Source organism: Homo sapiens, chromosome 10, assembly GCF_000001405.40.
Source record: "Homo sapiens chromosome 10, GRCh38.p14 Primary Assembly".
NCBI lineage: Eukaryota > Metazoa > Chordata > Mammalia > Primates > Hominidae > Homo > Homo sapiens.
In genome coordinates this window covers 115,422,108-115,446,159 of record NC_000010.11, presented here as the reverse complement: position 1 = coordinate 115,446,159, position 24,052 = coordinate 115,422,108, and the positions used below count along the sequence as shown (strand labels likewise).

The 24,052-nt window shown below is 32.4% G+C and overlaps 1 protein-coding gene across 11 annotated transcripts in view; it reads right to left on the bottom strand.

The window, feature by feature from the left end:
* ATRNL1 (attractin like 1) overlaps window positions 1-24,052 on the bottom strand; it is an 855,635-nt gene that overhangs the window by 502,840 nt on the left and 328,743 nt on the right. For 9 of the 11 annotated variants that reach the window (NM_207303.4, XM_011539587.2, XM_011539588.3 and 6 more), the window contains one exon: window positions 19,858-19,910. The exons of 1 other annotated variant lie outside the window; for it this stretch is intronic. In NM_207303.4, the coding sequence (NP_997186.1) occupies window positions 19,858-19,910 (53 nt within the window). Of the gene's footprint in view, window positions 1-16,901; window positions 19,479-19,857; window positions 19,911-24,052 lie in introns of those variants that run through there. One more of the 11 variants, XM_017016036.2, reaches the window with a different exon arrangement.

Here is a 24,052-nt window from a genome sequence, read left to right as displayed (position 1 = left end):
AATGAGTTGAAGGGTAGCACATATATTAAATAAAGAAAAAAATCTGTTGATGAAGAAAACCTAAATATTTAAAGGAAGTATCTTGTATAAATATAAAAAGCATATTATATTACACCAATATTATTCAAATTAGCCAAAATGTAAAAACAACCCATGTACCTCAACTGAATGGTAAACAAAATGTGATATGTTCACACAATAAAATATTATTTTGTCATAAAAAGAAATAAAGTAATGATTTCTGCTATAACATGAATAAACTTCAAAAATACTGTGCTAATGAAAGAAATCAGTCACAAAAGACTGATTTATTTTGTTATGTCCAAAATAGACAAATCCATACAGACAAAAAGAAGATAAATGGTAGCCACTAGCTGGTGAAAAAAGAATGATAAGTGACTGCTGACATGTACAGCTTTCTTTCTGGAGCGATAAAAATGTTCCAAAATTAGATGGTGCAGATCGTTGCACAACTGTGTATAATATACTAAAAGCTACTGAATTGTACACTTTAAAATGGTGACTTTTATGGTTTGTGAATATATCTCTATGAAGTTATTGTTAAAAAAAATTACAGACATCCAGGCATGTCCATGTAGGTAAGTGTACACACACACACACACACACACACACACACACACACACACACACACGGACAAATGAGTTATTTACAGAGTAGGATTAGGCAACATGCCAAGGCTTTTTTTTTTTTTTTTTTTTTTTTTTTTTGAGGCGAAATCTCACTCTGTCACCCAGGCTGGAGTGCAGTGGCACACTCTTGGCTCACTGCAGCCTCTGCCTCCCAGGTTCAAGCAATTCTTGTGCCTCAGCTCCTGAGTAACTGGGATTACAGGCGTGTGCCCCCACATCCTGCTAATTGTTTTTGTATTTTTAGTAGAGATGGGGTTTTGCCATGTTGGCCAGGCTGGTCTCAAACTCCTGACCTCAGGTGATCTACCCGTCTCAGTCTCCCAAAGTGCTAGGATTACAGGCATAAGCCATTTTGCCCAGCAGCCAAGTGCTCTTAAGCAGAAATAAATGTCAAAATAAAAAAAAGAAGTAATATTTATGGAAAATATATACTCAGCAATGCTGTCCCCATTCAAGAACAATATAATAATAATTTCAGGGTCGGGTGCAGTGGCTCAAGCCTGTAATCCCAGCACTTTGGGAGGCCAAGGCGGGCAGATCACCTGAGGTCAGGAGTTCGAGACCAGCCTGGCCAACATGGTGAAACCCCATCTCTACTAAAAATACAAAAATAGGCTGGCGTGGTGGCGCACACCTGTAATCCCAGCTTCTCAGGAGGCTGAGGCAGGAGAATCGCATGAACCCGAGAGGCGGAAGTTGCAATGAGCCAAGATGGCACCACTGTATTCCTTCCTGGGTGACAGAGCAAGATATAAATATCTTGCTCTATCCACCTCAAAAATAAAATAAAATAAAATAAAATAATTTCAGGTAAACAGGTGTCCTAAAAGGACATAATCTACATATCAGTTTTGAAAAAAAAAATCAACTCACACACACATTACAACTAAGAGACAAATACAAATACAAAAATGGCAAAGAAAAAAGGTGAATAGATGACAGAGGTAAATTACAAAAATATAATTATACAGAAATATGAATATTTTTAAAAAGAAAACAAAGTTGTCTTTTTCTGCCTAGAATCAGTTTACCAAGAAATTAATATAAAACAACTAAAAAGCTATTAAATAATAAACAATTCAGTAATGTAGCCAGATATGACTTAAATATTAATATATAAATACCTATACCTTTTATTTGGAGATTATCTTATTACTTCAGTGACTATGCCTATCCCTGCACCAAAAAACAAAAGAAAAACAACTCTACACTGCCTTAATTACTGTAACTATCTAGTTAGCCCTAACAGCTGGTAGAGGAACATGTCTAAGAAGGCAATTTAATATTAATTTTGTATCCAACAACCTGACAAACATTCCTGTTATTTCTAATAATTTGCCTGTAGACACTTCGATTTCTTATGGAAACAATTATATCATCTGTAAAATAAATGCAAATTTAAATCCTCTTTTAAATCTTTATGGCTATAATTCATATTTCTATTAACTGTGTTCTTCAGATCTTTGATATTCTTTCTGAATTTTGTCTGCTTGATCTAGAAATACTCTAAAGAGGTATGTTTAATTTTTTATTGTAGTTTAATCAATTTTTGCTCCACATATTAAGTCTACTTTATTAGTTGCATACACTCAAATAGGAAGGAATAATAAATACTCTGAGGCATAGAGAATTCAGAAGCTTTGACATGCAGACTTCCGTTAAAACAATTTTTGATTAAAGACTTAAAAAGAGAAGAGATAAATACAGAATGTGTAGCAAAAAATATATCAAGGGATACGGAGATGGGGCTGATAAAATACCTTGGTGAATTTGTTATCTTTGTAAAAATTGCGATGTCCAAAGAAACATGCGTATCCATAATAACCAAGAATAGAAAGTCTAGAGAATATCAAAACACTGTGGTTTTATAAAAGAATTTCAAAAAAAGTTACAGAATGCTAAAATCCTTATCTTATAGGAGGGGGATATCAGTATGTTTCCCCTTCCAAAAAAGCTATAAAAGGCTTAAAAACAAATATATAAAAAGTAAAAATACAAAATAAAAAATTAAAATGGTATAAATAGATTCAGATATGAATAATAACACCAAAAATAAATGGATTCAACTCATCATTAATCACAAAAATGTACAGATTAGAAAACAGCAAAATCAAAGTCTTCTATTTTTAAGAGATATGCCTATAAAAAGAGAGCCCACAGACTGAAAGGATGAAGGGAGACACATCAGGCAAATGCTAATCAAAAGAAACAGGTGTAATTACATTTATTTCAATTATAGACTTTGAGACCAAAAATTTGTCATTAATGGCATCACTATAAATCATCAACAGAATAATTTGATGATATCAAATCACCAAAAAAATGCAAAAATTTAAACACATATAATCATCAATAGCTTTTCTTTTACATCAATAGAGGTTTTACATTCAACAGAAAATGTAATGGTTTAAAAATTCCATTCTGAATAGCAAACTAATAAAAATCTCCAAACCAAATGAAATCCCAGAAATAAACTAAATATTAATTTACAAAACTACAAAAAATTTAATTTACAAAACTACAAAATCTATTTTAGGTCATAAAAGAAGATGTAACTATACATGATAAATAGACTGCTAAGGAGCATTCTAAATTTTAATACTTAAGAAAATATATATATGTTCTCCTCAGATTAATCTTTTAAATTAATAAAATTCCAATCAGAATTATAGACAGATAGAAGTGAGGAATCAAAGGCCTTGTTCCTATGGAGTTTGCATTCTATTAATAGAAGAGAAAGCCAAAAATAATCACACAAATAAACAAGACATTTTAAGAGAGTGATATATGCTATGAAGATCGCAAGGTAATGTTTTGGAATAGGTGTTACAAATTACTGCCCACAGACCAAATCTGGTCCACAGCCTGTTTCTGTAGATAGTTTATGATAACACAGCCGCAACCAATCATTTACATATTGTCTATGGTTGCTTGTCTACTACAGTGGCAGAGTTTAGTAGGAACAACAGAGACCATCTGGCCTGTCATGCCTAAAATATCTATTATTTGGCCCTTTACAGCAAAAGCTTACCAATCCCTATTACAGGTTCAGAGAAGATTGCTTTACAAAAGGCACACAAAAGGAAACAACATCTGAAATGATAAATGAAAAATGAGAAGCAAATCATGTAAACAATCAGTGAAAAAGTTCCTGATTGTTTACAGTGAAAAAGTTCCTGATTGTTTACACACACACATACACACAGAGAGAGAGAGAGAGAGAGAGAGAGAGAGAGAGCAAACACAAATGAAAATGAAGCTGCGCTGTTTGAGGAAAAAAAAATAATTCCACTGTGCTTAGAATGATTTGTGGAGGGTTGTAAGAGATAAAGTCAGAAAGCAGGTAAGGGCCACATCATGGAAAACCATGAAAGATCTCAAGCTGGGTAGTGAGATGGTCTGATTTTTAATTTTTAAATGTCACCCTGGTGGCCGATTGGAGAATGTCTGAAGAAAATTAAAACTGAAAATGGGAAAACTACACAAGGAAGCTTCTAAAAAGGACCAGAGTCAAAATGACAGTGCCTTGGACAGGGTGGGAGAAGTAGAAGAGAGAAAGATATATATCTTTGGGATATATTGTATAAGGAAATCCAACTGAAGTACTAAACACCCTCACAAAGTAAGGGTTGAGAAAGGAAAGGTATCAGAGAGGGGGGCTCAAAGAAGTCTTTGGAATCAGGAATCAAAGAAGGCTTTCAGATATTTGACAAAAGCAAGTATATAGGCATTATGTACATTTACTGAAATGAGGAAGTCTGAGTAAAGAATGAAGTTTTATAAAATGAGGAAAAACTTAGAGTTCTGTTTTGAAAATACTGAATATGACTTTCTAATAAAATATCTAAATGATGATATCAAACAGAAAGTCAGAGAAATCAGTTTGCAGCTCAGAAAAGTGATCAAAACTACAAGTTTTGGAACATCAAAATTTAGATGCTTCTTAAAACTATGGGAACTGATAAGGTCAAGTGGAAAAAAAAGTAAAAAAGACTAAAAAGGTGCAGTCAGTGACAGAGTAGGAAAAATTGGAAAGTATGATAGGAAAGTCAAGAAATAGACTGTTTCAACTGTTCGACTCTGTGGTATGTTTCCTTAGAAAAGCAATGTCTATGGAGTTGTGGGGATTGAAGAGGAAATGGGTGGTAAGGATTTGGTGACAAGTTTAGGCAACTATTTTGAGAAGGGTTGATCTGAAAGAAAATACAGAAATGGTGCAATAGTTGGAGAAGTATAAGGGGAGTAGAAAAATTTTATTTTTAACATAAGATATATTAAAACATGTATATGTGTGCTAAGGAAATTGGTCCAGTAGAGTCTAAGCAACTGTTGATAAAGCAGAAATGGAAGAGCAAAGTCCCTTAAAGAGTTAAAGGTATAAAATTTAGAGCAAAACAAATTGAAAAATAGGCTTTTGTTAGGAACAGAGTTATTCTTTCCTCGATAATAAACTAAAGGCAGAGAAAATAAGTATAGGTGCAAAAAAGTTTGGTGATTGTGGTGGTAAAAAAAAATGGGAACATTCGCATCTATTTGCTTATATTTTCTCAATGAAGTAGGAGGTAAAATTATTAGCTGGTGCAGATAAAGGTTTGAGAATAGAGATGAAGTTTTAAAACACTTATTTGGAGAGTATTATAAAGGAAATGCAGGAAAAACACCAGGTAGTTTTGCATTTTCCTTTGATAAAGCTCAAGACCAAACAGTCAACACAGCTATATGATTTTTTTTTCCCCCCAGCAACGTGAGGGTGAAGAAAGTTCAGACACAGAGTAGTGAAGAGTTGGATTAACCAGTTTGGATTTTGCTACACAAGTAGATAGAAGAAACAGGAGTGGGAAGAAAATATGCAGTTTTAGCTAAGGACTGATAACTATAATGGCATAAAACCTCACATGGTTAAGGGTATAAAAGAAGACAGCAGGGCACTAGGAAAGGGTGAAAATGAGAAAACAAGTAGGGTTAATGAATTACAAATTTCAATGAGTTTGAATAATTATGGCATTGGTACTTAGTGAGCAAGAAGGACTAAAGGTGTAAGATATTTGAATTTGGTATTTCATAGGTGATGTTATTAATGACAAGGTATCGGGTAATACCATTGTTATACCCTAGTGCATGGGTCAGGAAACCCATAAAATTTTTAAAAGAAAGAAAGAATAAAACCCCAGAACCAATGAGCATATATAATCCCCAGTTTTGGTTTCTAAATATTATTCTCCAATATAAGAAACCATGGCATCTTGGGGAAATGGGAACTAGTTGATTTCAGGGATGGAAGAGGGAAAGTACAAGGTAAGCCCGAAATATCTTGTAGTGCTAGAAAATAAGGATGCACTCAACAAATGATGGAGTTATGTTAAAAAACACAGAAGCCAAATTGAGGGGGATCTTAATGACCAGATCTGGAACAATTTCAGCTACAAAATAAATAACGACAGTAATTTCTTATAAATCATAAAATTAAATAGATATCCATGAGTTCATACCGATATAAATAAATAATTAAACAAATTAATGAGGAAGGAGAAGGAACAGCTCTCCCTTACAGTTAATAATGTAAAACAAATGATGAAATAGAAAATCATCATTTGGTAAACACATTAATAATAATTCTTTCATATAAGAATAATCAATGTATGGTAAAAGTTGCCTTTTCCAGCTTCCAAAGCCTGTCCTCATTTGTTGGCTCATGGTCCCTTCCTTCACATCTCTCCACTTGCTTCCATCATCACATCTCCTACTACTGTAGTCAAATTTCCTCCGCTTCCCTTTCATAAGAATACTTGTTATTACACTGAGTATACCAGGATAGTCCAGAATAGTCTCTCTGAAAATCCTTAGTTTAAGCATATGTAACTCCTTCTTATCATTTAAGGTAAGTATGTATCACAGGTTCTGGGGAGGATGTAGACATCTTTCGGGGTGCATTACTCACCCTAACACAGAGTATCAATACATAAATAAATGACTGGAAAACTAGTACAATTTAGCAACAATTTTCTCTAGGTAGAAAAATTAGTAATTTTTATTTTTATTTTTATTTATCTCTTTTCTAGAATGAACATGCAGTATTTCCACTATTGGGCCAAAAAAAATGTAAACCAATGTTCAGAGAGTTTCTTTGTTTTAATCCTTGATCTTCAACATGTTTTTCACATGATGTATACTTACATATTAAATAATTAGATTGATATACAGATGACCCTATACAACACAGGTTTGAGCTATGCAAGTCCACTCATATGTGAATTTTTTTCTACCTGTGCCACCTCTGAGACAGGAAGACCAACCCCTCCTCTTCCTCATCCTCAGTCTACTCAACATGATGACGTTGAGAATGAAGACCTTTATGACGATCCATTTCCACTTCTACTTAATGAATACTAAATATATTTTCTCTTCCTTATTATTTTCTTAATACATTTTCTTTTCTCTAGCTTACTTTACTGTCAAGAATACAATATATAATGTATATAACATACAAAATATATGTGAATCAACTGTTTATGTTATTGGTAAGGTTTCTGGCCAACAGTATCCTATTAGTAGTTAAGTTCAGGGAGAGTAAAAAGATATACGCAGATTTTCGACTACATGCGGGGTTGGTGCCTCTATACCTCAGGGGGTTCAAGGGTCAACTGTAGTTATGTTTCTCTCCAAAAATGGCATATTTCATTCTTAATACACAAACTTCTTAGATATAGGCTAACAAAAACATACAAGATAATCAGTCTCTCATCCTAGTCTTATATGACTGGAATATGCCCAGGATTAAGTTTCAACATGCAGAAGTTGATTTTTTTAAGGTTATTTAGTCAATACTGGTCTAGCAGCCGTAGTGCAAAAAAGTGTTTTCTATTTACTACAAGAACAAATTATATACTAAATGAAGCTGATGAGTAAAACACATTGCATGAAAAAGGAGTTTAAGCAAAAATATATAAAGAGAAAAGGCTTTTAACGTATACAAGATGTTTAAAGAAGTCAGATATTAAAAACTAATGATTAGGTGGAAAGTGATGACTAAAATGTATATGCATAAAAAGACATTTTGAAAGAGAAACTAAGAAGAAAGTTTCTGAGTACATTACATGCTTGGGATGATGAAGAGCAAGTAGTGAATATTTAAGATTTGCTTTACTCTTGCAACAAAATCTGCAGGAAATAATGTATTTTTTAAGAAGATAGTAACCAGTGATAAAAAAAATCATCAAGGTGTATACTGGAAATATCTTTATATCTGAGATGCAAGATGGCAGGCATGTTAGGATGACAAATAAAAATAAGCCTGATTTGCATATGCTGTATCAATGGCACTGCTCATGTAAATTTCAACTTATTTGGGAAGAAGAATTCTTAGATATAAATTTTGAATTGTTTCTGAAATTTTATATGTGAATTTTTTGAGAAACAAACTGCAGCTTAATAATTTGCTTTTCCACTGAGTTAATGATTCAGTTAATATTGCGTTTCAGTTTTAATTTAGCATCATCTATACCATTTAAGGAGATCTTGGTTGTAATCTCCCATATAACAACTAGGTTATTTTATACAAGTTAACTAAGCTTAATGAGACCCAATGGTACAACAGGGATAAAACCGCCTATGTCATAGGACTGCTCTGTGAATTAAATGTAATTGTGTGAGTATGTATTTGCCTTAGAGAAGACTGTCTGATAAAATAAAGGCATTCGATAAAGTTATTTCACTGCCTTATTCACTGTAGTTATTTCTGAATGAATTCTGAAGGATTTCAAAAGTCAGATTCCCATATGTATGTTTATTTATATTCATATGTTTGTTAATAAACATATGTTTATGATCTTATAGTCAGCCATCCTGAGGAGTCTATAAAGGATACATACAGACTTTGACAACAATATCGAGAGTCCAAAAACATTTAAACAATGGTACGATTATAAATACAACTATTTGCAAACTTAGACAATTGTTTAGTAAATGATAAAAACCCATGTGAATAAAAGTACAAGTATTTTAACAGTCTCAATGTGCTGTAATGATATTTTACAGATAGCTCCAGGAAGATGCCTCAAAAAATAAACCAAAAATGGTCTATTTCATGCTCTATTGCCGCCACTAAGCTGTTTTACATACTGAAAGCAGACTGATTATTTTAAAAGCAAAATGTAACATTTTTCTCTCCTCTAAATACCCTTCAATGGCGTCCTATCTTTCTTATGATAAAGACCGTATCTTACATGTTCTATAAAGCATAGCATTGTTTGGATCTTGCAGATCTCATAAGCTTCCTATTTTTGCTCTGTATATTCTATGTGTTTCAGTATTGGTTTTCTTTTAGTAACTCAAACATTGCATGTTCTTTCTAGTCACGAACCTTTGTACATGCTGTCCTTTTTGGTTCCACTTCTTCCTATCTACCCTCACACTATCACATCTTATCAAGTCATTTCTTCAAATCAAAGCTCAATCATTCCCTTACCTCACCTACTCCCTATCCCACAAATTAGGTCAGGCCCTCTTGTAATGTATTCCCAAAGCTCTATAAAGTTTGGAAATACATTCCCAAAACTCTATAATTCTCATTCAGAGCTCTTACGAAAATCACACCTATGAAAATCATATAACTGGTTTAATATCTATTTTCTCTAGTAGTGTATAAGCTTCAATAGAGGAAAAAACATTTTGTTCACTTTGTTATCCATGGAGTCTAACAAAGTAGCTAGTCAATAAGTAAATGTAGAATGAATAAACACAAGTCAGTAAACGCAAGTAAATGACAGTCTCTCCAAGCTCTAACAGTCGAATCCTCCAGAAAGTAATTTAATGAGAAAAAATATGTCACCCTTGGGAATACTGAAATTATTAATATAAAATTGTTTTGTACATAAATATTTAATAAATACTAGTTTTTCCTTGTTTGCTCAACTGTACTATCCATGCTGAAAATTATTAAGAATTTCTACTGAATCTGGAACATTTAGAACAATTTCAAAAGTAAAATCTGTTGCACAAGTTTTGTAGGTTCAGCATTTGCTAGATATCATATCATAGAAAAAACACAGTTATAATCCAAACTCTGAAAACTACTAATTGTATGACCTAAGATATACATTTAAATTCATTCAGTCTTACAAATAAATTTTTTAAATACATAAGAATGGATGATTATCACCAATGCCATACATTAATTTTTCTAATTTATGGGATTTTTAATAATATGCCATGACCTATTCAGAAGCCACCTTTTTTTACTTCATAATAGCTCAAAATCACTAAACTTTCAATTATCCTGCAATGATGAATGGTCATCTATTTAGTTTCATTTGAAAGAAATGTTCAATGAAGAAAACAAACCTTGAAATTCATTTTTTCTTTAAATAAAAGACTGATACTTAAAGTTTTTCAGTGATATAATAGTATTACCCTATGTCCGTAATAAACTTAAAGCAACTTTTACTTGATAATCTACAATATGATCTCTGGACATTTTTGCTCAAGTACCCCAACAATAAAAATGCTTGCTCATACAGCTAAAATAAATGTATATTCACTTATGTATTAATAACTTATATGAGTCTACTACCATTAAACATAACTGAAGGTCTGTTATGAGTCATACAGATTTCTAAGTATGGAGATCCAATAAAACAAGGTACAGTGTTCACAGAATTTGATTCTAGTAAAATTTCATTTTACTTAAAAACCTAAATTCAAGTTAAAAACAGAAATCAACTGAGATAATTTTATACTATGTAAGTGTTAGGATGGAAACAAAAGGTTTGTGATATCTGGAAGAGTCATTTTTGTTAGGTTTGGAATATTAGCTGGGGATAGAGTACTTGAGAGAGAAAAGTAGTAAATGCGAAAGCCATAATCTTCGTAAAGTTTGAGATATCTAAGAACAAGCAAATTAAGTCATTAAAGACATACAAATAAAATGACTTGCCATATGTCTTAGCCTGTTTTGTGCTGCTATAACAGAATACCACAAAATACCACATACTGGGTAATTTATAATAAATATAAATTTATGGGCTCACAGTTCTGAAGGCTGGAAAGTAGAAGACCAAACAGCTGGCATCTGGTGAGGGCCTTCTTGCTGTGTCATCCCATGGCAGAAGGCCAAAGGGCAAGAGAGAACAAGAAGGAACTGAAGTTGCCTTTCAATAACAGCACAAATTCCACCTATGAGGGTGGAGTTTTCATGGCCTAGTCACCTCTTAAAGGTCCCAATCCCAGCACTTTGGGAGGCCGAGAAGGGCGGATCATGAGGTCAGGAGATCAAGACCATCCTGGCTAACACGGTGAAACCCCGTCTCTACTAAAAATACAAAAACAAAATTAGCCAGGCATGGTGGTGGGTGCCTGTAATCCCAACTACTCAGGAGGCAGGAGAATGGCATGAACCCAGGAGGCGGAGCTTGCAGATTGGGCCACCACACTCCAGCCTGGGCGACAGAGCAAGACTCCGTCACAAAAAAAAAAAAAAAAAAAGTCCCAGGTTTTAATACTGTTAAAATGTCAATTAAACTTCAGCATGAATTTTGGAGGCAACAAACATTCAAACCATAGTACCATATAAATTCCCAAATTATCAGGAACTTAATCTTATACTCCAACTTGTTCATTGATTTAGTGGCATATTCTAATACAAGTTTGGGAGCCAGTGGATGCAGTTAGAGTTACAGTTTGTTTGGATATCTATTAAAGTAGGAATTTCTTACTATTCTTCCTGTTTGTAATCTAACTGGATATTCTAAAAGTGTATTATTTAACTTGAACCTTAAGGTAATTTATTGGAATGCATGCCTTTCAGAAAAAATTGAATGAAATTCTATAATGGAATTACATAAAATTTTTATATCAATTTTGGGAAGTTATGATATCTTTGGATGAATATTTCTTATTTGAAAAAATGGCATATGATTTTTTAATTATTTAGATCCTCTTATTTCCTTCAGCATAATGTTTTTATTTCACTCATATAAAAACTTTTTGCTTACATATACCACTGATTTCCACTTCTTTAATGGTTAAGAGGGTTGAAACCTGCCTTTACTATTTCCTGTGTGATCTTATACAAATTAGTTCAGCTTTCTCTATCTCTGTTTTCTTATCTATAAAATGGGAATAATAAGCATACCCTTCCCATTTGAGTATTACATAAGCTAATACATATAAAAAGCTGAGAACAGTCTAGTATAGTAAGTTCTCAATAAATGTTAACTAGTATGATCATTATTTTAAAGTCAGGTGGTTGTTCTTTTCCAGTTTGGGAAAAACTATGTTTTATTTACTAAATGCTAATAATGAGCTATATATCTATAAGAAAAACATTCACAATAATATTATGCATGTTATGACCTCTATGACATAAAATCATTCTCAGGACATGATGCAGAGATTTATTTAGAAGGCAGGCAGTCCCTTCAGTAGACCATTCAACATTTTACACACAAATAAAGAACTATATACCTCTGGCTCAAGGCAGACACAGCCCCACACTAGGGTACATGGCTTAGTGAGAAAGGTAAGTACAGCATATCAGCTCTCAATCTTCCACTCAGCTGAGTACCCTTACAAAGGATACATACTACACAACTCAACTTGGGGGACCTGGTGGAAGGTTTATGGACATTTTTATTTCCTTCCTTAAACTTTTTTATTATTTTTTACAGTGAGTCTATGATTTTACATGAAAATAATAATGTAACACTTTTATTGTAAAATATATAAGTCAAATAAATTTTCATCCTTCTTCTACATTAACTTAATAGCAATTTTTTTCCTTTTAGCTATTTTAAATTTTCTTATAATCATGTTTATTATCCATCATTTTGGACTATGCTAAAGGAGTAAATAGTTCTGAAATAAAAATCTAAAAGTACAGGGATACAGACTTCAGAAAATTTAATAAAAATACTGAGGAATCAAAGAACAAGGTTAAAATGCCAAAAATGTGACTCATTTATGTCTTGTCAGATACTGTTCAATCCATCATGTCTGCAATCTGGTAAATATAAGAATTTAGATTATTGGTGTTTATTAAGATCACTCTGCCCCATGTGCAAATGAAACAGCCAGATCCTACTTAAATAGCAATTTATAGCCAATAGTTAAAAAGTCATATAAAACATTCACTAACAAAATGTTCAGTTTAAAACAGGAAAATTATTTTATTCAGTTTTAGAACAAAAACCAGGATAATTCCATTAAATATAAGGGTCAATTCAAGTATTAATTGGTTTCATTGTTTTCTATGACATACTATTTTAAGTAATTAAACTGACATACTATTTTAAGTCATCTTTTTCAACTTAAATTTCCTACTCTCAAAATAGGTAGTTTATTATTACTACAAAATTCCACCATGAACTCTAAATAAAAGAAACTCTAATAAAAGAAATTCAACATAAAACAGTAATTTTTTAAAGAGTAAAAGATGAAATAAAATGTGTTCAATTACTTGGAAGTATATTAAAACACAATAATTAGGGGTGTGAGCATTGCAAATTACATGTATTTAAAGAATTAGCACAATAGTGAAATAAAGTAAATGACTGCAGAAAGTGACTTTATGTACTCTCATTCTACTTTTTGAAATATATCATCTATATAGCATTTCTACAGCCTAGTCTTTCATTTTTAAGGTTTTCTTTGTTAAAATTGTTATTACAATTAAAAGAAAGCATTTAAGAAAAAAAAACTATACTACTTTGTGATACTTTGTGACTACTACTTTTTGTATTTACTAAAAATATATTGAGTAATTCAATGTTTACAAGGGCCAATAAAATTAGTTAACACTGTTTGAACGTTTTCCCTCCTTTGTGAGGCATGCTTTATAATATATTTGGTTTTTGGTTTTAAAATGAACTTTGAAAAACTACTAAGTAAATAGATTACAACTGCTGACATATCACTTTCAATTAAGTTAATACCACATTGCACTCAATTGCTTTAAGTTACAGTGTGGACTTGCATCTTAAATTTCGATCTAATCTTGAAAATTAGAATAGTTTCTATTAACATTATTACAAGAGTTATTGTCCTTTTCTTTTTTAAGCATCACTTCTTTTCAAATATTAAGCTTTAAACGTCTCACAGCAATACCAAGAGTGCCACCTAGTGCTTTACCATTATGCTTCTGATATTTCTAAAAGAACGCAGGGATCCTATGTAATCTAGAGAAGAGTTGTCCAATAAGGTCACCACTAGCCATATGTGGCTATTGACTAGTTGAAAAGTAACTGATTTGAATTAAAATGTGATGTAAGTATGGAATGTAAACTTTGTTTCAAACACTAGTACAAAAAAAGTAAGATATCTCATTAATGACTTAATGACTTTTAAAACTGATTACACATTAAAATGAAAAAATTTTAGATGTGTTAAGCTAAAAAAGGTTTTATTAACATTAATTTTACTCATTTTCTTTTACTTTTTAAAGGAAGCTACTAGAAAATTTTAAATTACATATGAGGCTCACATCATATTTGTATTGGACAACATTGACATAGAAGAAAAATTATGCTAGTTTTTATAAAAGGGTTAAACATTAGTATATTTGTAATAAACAGAGATTACATAATGTGTTCATAATGGTAACTAGTTACTCCTTTGGCAGATAAAAGAAACTAAAGGCTCAAAAAAAGAGGAATTTCTAATTTTAAAAAACCAAAGAAAAAAATCCCTATAAAATAAATCCAGGATATTTGAAATAAGAAAAACAAAAATGATGTGGAAAAGCTAGAGAATAAAGATAATTTAAATGACACAGTAATTGGACAGTCTGAGCATCAGTAGGAATAATAATTGCACACGGATTAAAACATGTATGGATCTATAAGTTCATTAGTGACAAAAACTGTCATTTTTGAAAGATATTGAGCTAACTTTTAATTTTAAATAAATAAATACATACATAAAAGTAGTAAAGGGAATAAATAAAAAATACAGGGAAAAACTGTAACATTTATCATGCCTTCCCTATGCGAACTGTAGCAATAAGCAACCAAACAGCTGATGAGCGAAAATTTGTTTTTACCGAAGTATTCAAACCAAAACATGAAGAAGAAATTGGAATATTATATCTTTTCTTTTCTTTTTTTTTTTTTTTTTTAGTTTCACTCTTGTTGCCCAGGTGCGAGTGCAATGGCACAATCTCAGTTCTCCGCAACCTCCACCACCTCCCAGGTTCAAGCGATTCTCCTGCCTCAGCCTCCCACATAGCTGGGATTACAGGCGCACACCACCACGCCCAGCTAATTTTGTATTTTTAGTAGAGACGGGTTTCTCCATGTTGGTCAGGCTGGTCTCGAACTCCCTACCTCAGGTGATTCGCCCGCCTCGGCCTCCCAAAGTGTTGGCATTACAGGCGTGAGCCACTGTGCCTGGCAGAATATTATATCTTTTCAATCTTGATCAATTAAAATCTAAACATTGAGCGTCAGTGTGTGCCAAGAACATAAGAGACACTAACAGACATGATATGACTCTTCTAGACAAAGAAAACCAAACCATCTACAATTATTATTTTCTCCAAAATCAGATATAAATTTGATTAAGCCTCTAAATCAGGATTTCTCAACCTAAATACTATTGATATTTTTGGCCACATGATTTTTTGTTCTGGGGAGGTTGACCTTTTCATTGCAGGATGTTTACCAGCATCCCTAGCCTCTACCCATGAGATGCCCACGGCACCCACGTCCCACTCCCCTGTTGTGACAAACAAAATTGCCTCCATACCCTATCAAATGTGTCATAAAGGGCAAAAATACCTTAACAAAATTTGGGATTTTATATGCCACATTCTCAGTAACATTTTTAAAAAATTAAAAATAGTTAACAAATGTTTTGTGGATTGGAGGAGGGTGAGGATCTAAAAACTACCTATCAAGTACTGCACTTATTACCTGGGAGATGAAATAATCTGTATACCAAACCCCCACAACATGCAATTTACCTATATAACAGGCAGCACATGCAGCCCTGAGCCTAAAATAAAAGTTAAAAAATAAGAATCACTTAAGAAAGGAACTAAGAAAATAATTACGTTTTTAAAGATAAAAAAGGAATTCATAAATTCTGTAAAAAAATGATAATTTTAAAATACTATAGCAAATATAGGCAAAACAACAACAAACAGTATATGAGAAGGAAATTATTAAAGACAAAATCTGAAATTGATGAACTAAAAAACAAGATCCACAGAAAAGATAAATAAAACCAAAAGCTAATGCTATGAAATAGCAAAAAATAAAAAAATAAAATAACTACCAATTAAAAAGCACTAGACCCAAAAATTTTTGTTGAAATACCTAATTTTTATTTAAAGTTTTAACTATTCCTGTTTTAAAAGAAGATAGCAATTGTTCCAAATTCATTTTTAAAAGCTTTTACCACAATTGCAGATATATAGAATGGAAAACTTTTTTGTTGTTGTTTTTTGAGACAGAGTCTCACTCTGCCACCCAGGCTGGAGTGCAGTGGCGCGATCTCGGCTCACTGCAAGCTCCGCCTCCCGGGTTCATGACATTCTCCCATCTCAGTCTCCGGAGTAGCTGGGACTACAGGCGCCCGCCACCACGCCCGGCTAATTTTGTTTTTGTATTTTTAGTAGAGACGGGGTTTCAACGCGTTAGCCAGGATGGTCTCGATCTCCTGACCTCGTGATTCGCCCTTTGTGGCCTCCCAAAGTGCTGGGATTACAGGTGTGAGCCACAGCGCCCGGCCAGAAAATAATTTTTAAAAACTGCAGTCATAGGTCATTTAGTCAGAAAAAATAACATTCAAAAAAGAGATCGTCTTCTTTCATACTAAAAATATTCTAAATTAAAATATAAACAACTAATATTTAGCAGTATCCAAATACTAATATGCCATGACTAAGTATGGTTTAGCCCAGAATGAAAAGATGTTTAATGTGAGAAAATCTATTAATTTAACTTAGTATTTAATAAGGTAAAAGAAAGTTATTCATGATATAACCTTGTCACAAAATAAGATAGGAATTTGCTTAATGTGATACAAGGAATATTCCATAAATTATAATAAACATCCTACCTGATAAGGATATCTATTATCATCACTGTGATTCAGCCCAGAAATAGAGGTCTCAACATCCCAATAAGGGTAAAAAATATTGAAAAAGGAAGAAAATTGTGCTTATTTTCATGTAATATAATTAACTGCATTTAAAAATCCAAGCAAATCTACAAACAGAATTTAGTAAGCGTTCACCAAAGTTAATGAATATAAGATCAATATACTAAAACGAATTTTATTTTTATATATCAAACAAGAGTAGAAAACAAAATTTTGAAAAATACAATTTAAAACAGCAACAAAAACTGAAAAAAGGATAAATTTTACACACCCAGCAAATCATTTTCAAGGCATCAACACATAAAATCAAGTTCAACACTATTAGTCATTAAAGAAATACAAAACAAAACCACAAAATGCCACTATACACACTCTAGAATGTCTATGATCAAAGAGACAATGTTGTATTGATGAGGATGTCAAGGAATGAAATTTCTAGTATCAAAATTTTCTAGAATAAATTAAAAAATGTTACCAACATTCTGGAAAACCATTTGGCAGTTTCTAAAGTAGTTAAGCAAAAGCTTATCATACAACCAAACTATACATTGCTAGGAATCTACCCAAGGAAAATAAAAACATATGTTCACATAAAGACCATATGAATGTTCATTCACTGCAGCATTTTTCTTAATGACAAAACCTAGAAAAAAATCCCAATGTCCATGAACTTATGAATGGACAAAAATGGTAGTATATTCTTATACTGTATACCGTTCATTAAATTAAAAATACTAAAATCACTATATTAACAAAGTAAAATAGAAATTTCTGATAATCATATAAATTAATGCAGGAAATGCATTGGACATAAACAACCATTTCTGATAAAAAATGTACAGCAAAGTAGGAATAGAAGGCAATTTCCTTAATCTGATAAAGGCAGTTAGCAAAAACCTACATCATATTTAATGATAAAAGACTGAATGCTTTCCCTCTTAGATCAGAAACAAGACAATAATACTTTCATGTTCACATCTTTTCAACACATTATTAAAGGTGCTAGCTATAGCAATAAGGCAGAAAAAAGAAAGAAAACCATCAAGAGAGGAAAAGAAATCCAACTGCTATTATTTGCAGGAAACATTGTATGTGTAGAAATTCTGAGAGTCAACAAAAAATGGTAGTAGAAGTAAAATGTGACTTTTGCAAAGCTACAGGATGTAAAACCAATATAAAATCAATTATAAATGCCAGAAACAATCAGGAAATCAGGAATGAAATATTTTAAGCTAACATTATCAATAGCATCACAAATTTAAAATATACAGGGATAAATCTGACAAAAATGTGAAATATGTGTACAGTTATAACTATAAAATATTAATAGTAAAAATTAAAGAATTGAGAAAAAATAAAAAATACAATAATTCCAAAGACTCACTATAGTTAACATGCCAATTCTCCCCAAATTCATCTATAAGTTAAACAAAATCACAAAACAAATTATAGCAATTTTTTTGAAAATTGAAAGGCAGATTCTAAAATTCACTTGCAAATGCAAAAAAAAAAAGAGTAGTCAAAACAAGTTTGAAAAGGAAGAACAAAGTTGGAGAATAAATACTAACCGATTTCAGGACTTATAAAATCACATTAATTATAAATGTGCTACGTTAGCATAAAAATAAGCAAATAGATTAAAGAAACAGAAAAGAGTCCAGAAACAGACCCACACATTTACAGACAAGTGTTTTTCAGCAAAGGTGCACAGAAATTCATTGATTAAAGTATAGTCTTCACATAAAGTGTGCTTGAACATTTAAATATTTACATGGAGAAAAAAAGAACTTCAATCCATCACCTACTATATATGCAAATATTAATTCAAAATGGACCATATACTTAAATAGAAAACTTAAAAATATAATATTTCTACCAAAACCTGGGGAAAATCACAGTGACCTGTTAGGCTAAGATTTCACAAAAGAACAAACTGATAAGTCAAGCTTCATCTAAATTAAAATCTGTTCTTCAAGAAAATAGTGTTAATAAGATAAAAAGACAAGTTACCACTAGTAAAAAATATTTGCAAGTCATATATCTGATAAAGGACTTGTATCTAGAATGAAGTATGTGGAAAATTTGTTAATATAAAAACAATCTAAAAAGTGGGCAAAGGATTTCAACAGACCCTTCATCGAATAAAATATACAGATGGCAAACAATCCTATGAAAAGATGCTGAACATCATTAGTAATTAGGAAAGTGCAAATTAAAATGAGAGTTAGATACCATTACACACCTATTAGAATGGCTAAAACTTGGACTAACTCTAAAAAAGTTTCTGAAATGTGGAAGAACTGAAACTCTCATACACTGCTGGTGGGAATGTAAAATGGTACAACCATTTGGGGAAACAGCATTTGGCTGTTTCTTTAAAAGTTAAAGATAAGCTAGGTGCAGTGGCTCACGCCTGTAATCACAGCACTTTGGGAGGCCAAGGTGGGCGGATCATGAGGTCAGGAGTTCAAGACCAGCCTGACCAACGTGGCAAAACCCCAACTCTACAAAAAATACAAAAATTAGCTGGGCGTGGTGGTGGGCACATGTAATCCCAGCTACTTGGGAGGCTGAGGCTGGAGAATCACTTGAACCTGGGAGGCAGGGGTTGCAGTGAACTGAGATTGTGCCGTTGCACTCCAGCCTGGGCGACAAGAGCAAGACTCCATCTCAGAAAACAAAACAAAAGTTAAATATATACCTACCATATAATCAGTACCCAATGAAAGCATCTGTTGGTACAAAATCAGTGCAGCCTTTTAGTAATGCCCAAAATTCTGCAAAATATCTATTATAAAATTCAAGTTCTTCAAAAATCCATCATAATGAAAAGGACTACATTAAAATCACATGAGTTTACTCAAGTTCTATACTTTGTTCTATGTTCACAACAAAATCTATTGCTATTTTACTGCTCAGAGTAGAAAAAATGTACCAAATATAATTAAGAGAATATATTTCTTAGCAATATACGTAAAGTTGTATTATAAAATTTAAGAAATAGAAATTGCAAGATATTCATGACAATTTTAGTTATTCAAGATGACCTTTATTATTTGAAACTAATAGTATGCACCAATTATTTAAAATGAAGAATACACATATACTTACAATAACATGTTCCTCTAAGTGGATTACCAACATAGCGATTTTCAGAGTCACATCTGCAGAAACACAAAAACTCATTTACTATTAAACAATGCAATTCAAAAGCCTCATGTTTTTCTTCAAGCAAAAAAGTATTTATATTCTACATCAAAACATATTTAAAACTATACCATTATTTGAAATTTCAAAAACACATCTTTGAAAGATGTGTTTGAAATTTGAATTAATTGTAGAAAGCTTTATATATGAGAAAAAGTGAGAGATGAAATAGTGAAGAAAAAGAAAATAAACATACATGATAGGCATATAAGGAATGTTAAAAGGCAGATGAAATATAATTATGAGCTTTGGGATATGTATCCTGCCTTAATAAACAGAAGAAGTGAAAGTCTGAAATAAGATACAGAGATATTTTTAGGTAGAAGAAAATTCAGGGAATTCATAAATCCACATTATTTTCACACTTGTGGTATTGTTTGAAATTAACATATTTTCTACACCAGTTAAAAAAATTTTCTACACCAGTTTCTACACCAATTAATCTGTATTTTTAAAAACAGATCTCCTCCGGTAAATAATTGGAAAAAAAGGTTTCTCTAACCCAAACAAAATTGACTAATATAGATTAAATTCAGGAGCTCAAACTTTGAATTCACATAAACAGATTTTTAAAAAGTGAAAGAACATATGCGCATCCATACTCATGTACTCTTATATTTAATACATAAAAATATAGTTAACTACAGCAGTGGGAGAAAATCATAAGTATTTTCAAAATTTTTCAAGTTCACAAAACCTTGTTTGCCAAATAAAATTGACAATGTCTAATAGAGATATAGCATGGTTTTGCATAACATTTCTTGGAACGTCCTCCAAAATAAATTATTATAAAATTTATGCACCAGGGTAACTTAATAAAGTGACTTAATATTTAAATACTAAAAATTATATTTGCATATGGTTTAAGTAATTATTACATACATATTTTATATAAATATATTACATATATTTCAACTCTAGTTAAAAGTTTAAAGAGGTAAAAGAGTCTAAAATGTCTTTAGTTTTTCAGAAGCATTCATAAGAACAGAGGAATAGTAGAATACATATATATAATGAAGAGTCAAATAGTGAAAAATTAGAGGCTAAATAATCAGATTACATTCCCAATGCATTTTTCAGCCATGTGCTAGCTAGTTTTTATATTCATGGAAAAAAATGAGTTGAAGAGTAAATTTTACTGTATATTAATTATAAAATTAAAGTCAAAATATGATAATCCTTTAAAACACTAACTTGGAAGAAAAGGACTCTGTGAAACAAAGGAACTTTGGGTGTTAGGTTTTCTGTGACATTTCCAAACACCACTTTTAAGATTTTGTCATTGATGGTAGTTTTCTAGTTTTAGAAATATGCAATAGAGCACCACAAAGTGTGATTCCTATCTAACTGTAACTTTGTATAAATTGACCAATCTCTCCCCATTCCACCCTCCTCATACCCTCCCAAGCCTTTCAAAATCCTCCACAGCTTCTCACAACCACAATTCTCATAACCACAATTCTACTCTCAACTTGTATGAGATCAGTCTTTTTAGAGTCTACATATAAGTGAGATCATGCAGTATTTTTCTTCTGTGCTTATTTCACATAATATAATGTCCTCTAGGTTCATCCATGTTGTGTCCCAAATGACAGGATTTCATTATTTTTATGGATAAAATACATTCCAAAAATATATGACATATTTTTATCCATTCATCTCTTGATACAGACTTAGATTGATTCCATATCTTGGCTACTGTACATAGTGCTGCAATAAAAGTAAGAGTACAGATGTATCTTCAAAATACGAATTTCAATTCCTTCGGATAAATATCCAGTAGTGAGATTACTGAAACATATTTTCATTCTGTTTTTAATTTTTGGAGAAACTTCCATACTGTTGTCCACAAACAGCTGTATTAATGTGCATTTCCACCAACGGTGGATAGAAGATCCTCTTTCTCCACAACCTCGCCAGTATTTGTTATTTTTTTGTCTTTTTCATAACAGCCATTCTAACTAGTGTGAGGTGGTATCTCATCATGATTTTGATTTGCATTTTCCTAATGATGAGTGACGTTGAGTTTCTTCTTCTTATATCAGTGAGCCATTCGTATGTCTTCTTTTGAGAAATGTCTATTCAGATCTTTTGTCCACTCTTTACTACTTGTGGGGTTTTTTGCTATTGAGTTCTTTGGGTTCCTAACATATCTGGATATTAATCCCTTATCAGATGCATAGTTTGCAAATATTTTCTCCCATTCTATAGGTTGTCTCTTTGCTCTGCTGATTATTTCCTTTGCTGCACAGAAGCTTTTGTTTTGATGTAATCCCATTTCTCTATTTTTGCTTTTGTTGCCTGTGCTTTTGAGGTGTTTTCCAAAACAAACAAACAAAAACCTTCCCCAGAGAAATGTAATAAAGTGTTACCTCCGTGTTCTCTTCCAGTAGTCTCACATTTTGAGGACTTACATTTAAATCTTTAATCCATTTTGATTTTTTTTTAAGTGGTGACAGATGGGGTCTAGTTTCATTCTTCTTAATGAAACTTTTTCCCAGCATCACTTATTAAAGAAAATATTATCTCCCTAACGTGTATTCTTGGCATTTTTGCCAAAAATCAGATGGTATACATGCGTGTATTTATTTCTGGGTTCTTTATTCTGTTTCATTAGTTTGTGTGTCTTTTTAAATTTTTAACTTGTTTGTTTGTTTGTTCATTTGCTTGTTTGTTTCTGAGACACAGTCTCACTCGGTTGCCCAGGCTGGAATACAGTGGTGCAATCTCAGCTCACTGCAGCCTTCATCTCCTGTGCTCAGGTGATTCTCCCACCTCAGCCTCCCTAGTAGCTGGGTCTACACACCATCACACCTGGCTAGCTTTTTGTATTTTTCTTAAGACAGGGTTTTGCCGTGTTGGCCAGGCTGGTCTCCAACTCCTGGACTCAAGCAATTCACTCACCTCAGCCTCCCAAAGTGCTGGGATTACAGTTTGAGCCACCGCACCTGGCCAATTTTTACCTTTTAATGTTTATGGGTACATAGTAAGTGTGCTTATTTATGGGGTACATAGATATTTTGATACAGGCATACATTGTATAATAATGACATCAGGGTAAGAAGGACATCCATCACCTCACGGATTTATCATTTCTTTGTGTCACAAACTTTCCAATTACACTGTTTTATTTTAAAATGTACAATAAATTATTGTTTTCCTATCATTTTTCTTAACTTTTATTTTAGGTTATACTAGAGGTACATGCACAGGTTTGTTACATAGGTAAATTGTGTGTCACAGAGGTTTGGGGTACAGATAATTTCACCACCCAGGTAATAAGCATAATACTTGATAGGTGTTGTTTCTAACTTTACCCTCCTCCCTTCCTCCACCTCTCCAGTAGGTTCTGGTGTCTGTTGTTCCCTTCTTTATGTTCGTATGTACAAAATGTTTAGCTCCAACTAAAAAGTGAGAACATGTAGTACTTGGTTTTCTCCTTCAGTGTTAGTTCACTTAAGATAATGGCCTCCAGCTCCATCCATGTTGCTGCCAAAAACATGATCTTGTTCTTTTTTTATAGCTGCAAGTGTTCCATTGCTGGGTCAAATGGTAACTCTGCTCTGAGTTCTTTTAGAAATTGCTAAACTGCTTTCCACAGTGGCTAAACTAATTTACAATCCCACCAGCAATGTATAAGGTCCCCTTTTCTCTGCAACCTTGCCAGCATCTGTTATTTTTTTAAATAATTCCCATTCTGACTGGTGTGAGACGGTATCATATTGTGGTTCTGATTTGCATTTCTCTAATGGTTAGTGATGTTGAGCATTTTTTCACATACTTGTTGGACACATGTATGTCTTCTTCTGAAAAGTGTGTGTTCATGTACTTTGCTCACTTTTTAATGCGGTTGTTCGTTTTTTGCTTGTTGATTTAAGTTCCATATAGATTCTAGATATTAGATCCTTGTGGGATGCATAGTTTGCAAATATTTTCTCCTATTTTGTAAGGTGTCTGTTTACTCTGCTGGTAGTTTTGTTTGCCATGCAGAAGCTCTTCAGTTTAATTAGGCGCCATTTGTCAATTTTCTTTGTTGTTGCAATTACTCTTGGCATATTCGTCATGAAATCTTTGCCAGGTCCTACATCCAGAATGGTAT